Source organism: Homo sapiens, chromosome 2 (assembly GCF_000001405.40).
Source record: "Homo sapiens chromosome 2, GRCh38.p14 Primary Assembly".
Lineage (NCBI taxonomy): Eukaryota > Metazoa > Chordata > Mammalia > Primates > Hominidae > Homo > Homo sapiens.
In genome coordinates this window covers 71,878,823-71,882,030 of record NC_000002.12, presented here as the reverse complement: position 1 = coordinate 71,882,030, position 3,208 = coordinate 71,878,823, and the positions used below count along the sequence as shown (strand labels likewise).

General features: G+C 54.6%; 1 annotated feature.

Annotated features, from left to right (window-relative positions):
- Nucleotides 374-1,573: an enhancer, noted in NCBI's record as "P300/CBP strongly-dependent group 1 enhancer chr2:72107588-72108787 (GRCh37/hg19 assembly coordinates)". NCBI's record gives its function as "activates an origin of replication core promoter dependent on BRD2, BRD4, P300/CBP, MED14 and CDK7 cofactors, with strong dependence on P300/CBP, by STARR-seq in HCT116 cells {active_cell/tissue: HCT116}" and the evidence as "EXISTENCE:reporter gene assay evidence [ECO:0000049][PMID:35650434]".

Sequence of the window (3,208 nt, the reverse complement as noted above, 5' to 3'; positions counted from 1 at the left end):
GGAAACCTGAGGCTCAGCCTGAGCTGGGGAGAAGGCTTCCTCCCAGCCATCAGGGCTCAGGTTCCAGTCTCCCAGACCCGAGCCTCAGCCCCCTGCACTGAGCTTCAGAACTTGGCCTGGCTCCTGCTCCTGCACCAAGCCTTTCCAGAGCTCACCTCTGTTTCACCACAGTCCCTGTGTTGCATCTTAAATCCCTTTTCTGTAGTCCCAGAGATGTTTCCTCAACTCATTGTTCTCTCATTTGCCACAAGGTCCCAGTCCCTGAATTGATTGTGCAGGGTCAAGGACCTGATTAGAGAAAAGGACAGCTAGAGAAAGGGACTTAGAAATCATTCTTGCTATCCTCTTTTTTTTATAGAAGGACATAATTGAGGACCAGACATACTAGCTGGTAATGATAGCAGCTGAAATTTGCTGAACATTTAAATGACTTGCCCCAGGACACCCAGCGACTAAGTGATTCTCACCTGGGTTAGTCTGACTTCAAAGTCCAGTGCCTTAAACCACTAGCTGTACTGCCTTCCCTGTAGAAAGGAGATTTGTGAAGCAACTTGTCAAAAATCCCAGAACAAATTTTGGATGCAGCTGGCCCCAGAACCAAGGTTGCTGTCACTAGCTGTGCACTGTAAAAGGCGAGGACCTTGGTGAGCAACTGTGATGAGGGCAGGGCCAGACCTGGCCTGAAAACCTTCTGCTGCCTCAGGTCCTGGTTCCTTCCTTCTCAGACCCAGTTTGGCTCTGGTCTGGGAGAATGTCTGGAAGGGACCTGGGAGCCCATCTTGCTAACACTTCACTGTGAGTTGCTCAAGGTCACGGGAGAGCTGGGGCACAGCCTAACTCCCAGACCAGCCCTCTCTACCCTGGCTCCATTCTCTGACCCCTTCTGTGATGGGCCAGGGCTTTCCAGGGCCACGTCAGCTCCAAGACTATTTTGGTGGTCAAGATTTGGTGGCAAGTCCCAACAAGTCCTCTCTGAGGGGTTAAGATTAGCACAGGGACCTCAGCTATGACTCACAGAGGTGGCTGGGGTCAGGCCAGCCTGGCTCCTGTTACTGCTGTCCTCTGATTCACCAGTGGAAAAATGTTTGGCCCAAGACCTTTCCCCAGCTGCCAGCTTCCTCCCTCTTCCAATCAACTGGGTGCTGAAGAGTGGGGATGGGGCTTCCCCATTCCTCAGCCTCAGAACCTGGGCTACCAGCAGTAGCTGGGCAGCTGGTTTGGGTTCAGGGATTCCCTTCTTTGGGGCCACTCTGATGTTCCCAAAACCTTCTCTCATTTTATCCATATTCCTGGTCTCCCCAATATCTAGCCAAAGGGCTGCAGTCTACCTTCTCTGCTTCAGCGAGAAAACCCCAGGTCAGGAGGGGCCTGGTGCAGTCAGGTTCTGTCTCCACCCTGCTGAGACCTCTCAGAGTTCGCTGCACCTATTCAGGTGTGATGGCCTCCCTGTAAGTGTAAGGCATGCACCATGTATGTGTCTCATGTCACTCTCACAATCTTAAAGTCAGGGAGGTGTCAGTGAATTAGCTGTGTGTGTGGGTACACGTGTGTGCACGTGTGTATGCACACATGTATGTAGAGGGAGCATGAGGAAGGAAACTAAAGGGCAGGCCTGGATAACCCATAGGGCTCCTAGCACCCTGAGTTCAGAAATCCCAGGTCAGTGCTGGCAGAACTCAGTTTTCACCATCTATAAGAGAAGAGTTTGGACTTGATGGCCTGGAAGTGTCTCAGCCCTGCAGGCCAGATTTTCCAGAGCCATCTGCTTCTCAAATGCTTTGCCTCCTGAACCACCCTTGGTCTTGTCACACACAGACGTGGCTTGGGGCTACAGATAGACAGTCATCATATTCCTAAGCTCCTTTCCAGGTCTGCATCCTGGAAGCACCTTTGAAGGGGCAGCCACGGCCGTCCGCCAGGCATCCCTGACCTCTCCAGAAGGCAGAAGGGAAGAAGCTGGAGGAAGGGGAGGGGCTGACTTCCGGTAAAACCTCGTGATTTCTGCCAACAATCAATCAGCAGCCGCCTTTCTGGCCCCACCCACTGCCACCCCTGCCAGCTTTGGATTCAAGTTGGCTTTCACCAAAGGCCTCAGAAGCCCTGGAATGGCGAGTGCAGTGGTCATTGTGACATTTCTTTTTCCTTCTCTGTTTTTCAAGAACATGGCAGAGACGTGGCTGCTGTGGAGCTGTGACTCGTGAATGGAACAGTCCTGGTTGGAAGGATCTGGGGCCTGGAATGTGCTGCTGTGGGCATCAGTGGAGCTGCCATGTGAAAAGGATGCCGCGTCCCCCTCCCCAGCATGGGGCAGTGAGCAGGGGCAGTGAGCAGGGCCAGCAGGGAGCAGCCTTCCCGGCATGCTGTGCCTCCAGGGACACAAGGGATGGAGGGCACAGTGGGGTAGGTCCCGGCAGGGAGGAAGGGTACCTGCTCCTGCCTCTTGCCTGGCATGAGGCCAAGCTGGAGAAGGGTAGTGGGAGCCCAGAGCCATCTCTGCAGCTGCAGAGTCCCTGGGACCACCTGCCCAGGAGCCCAAAGGCTGGTTAAACAAAGCAGCTAGCCCTGGAGAAAAGGCTGGACGGCAGCCCTTCAGAATACTGTAACCCTTCTATGCAGACAGACGCCGCTTAAATAATCAACAGAGGATGTGAACAGATGCTCCAGCTGGGTCAGGGTCCCGATCTCACAGGGTGGGGCTGGTGGCCGTGTGAGCTGGTGCGCAATAAACAGCAGTGTCCCTCCAGGGGCAGGGAGTGGTGTGGGCGGATGATGGCTTTAGATGGATAGTGTCAGCGGTGAGGAGGGATTGTTGTATAGAAGAAAGGATGATTCGGAAACCATGATGGAGCCAGAGGGAAGGGGAGGTACTATGACATGTCAAGACAAATCCACACAAGTGGGATCTCCTCGCCCATGAATGAGTGGTCCCTGTAGCCCCTAGTCACTGAGTGCTGAGGACACTGAATCCTCAGGGTGTGTGGCAGGCTCTGCTATGGTGGGTGGCTGCACCCTACAAAAGCTTTAGCTGAGCTGGGGCTCCAGGCAGGTCATGGAAGCTATGGCCACACACAGGGTGGGCTCAAGCCAGGGCAAGAGGTTGCCTCTCTGGCTCACCCCAAGCCTGCAAGGCAGGTTTGGCTGTGCTGCCCAAGGCCACCCTGTGTGTGGGGAGCACAGCTGGTCTGCCTGGAAGAGCCCGGCATGACCC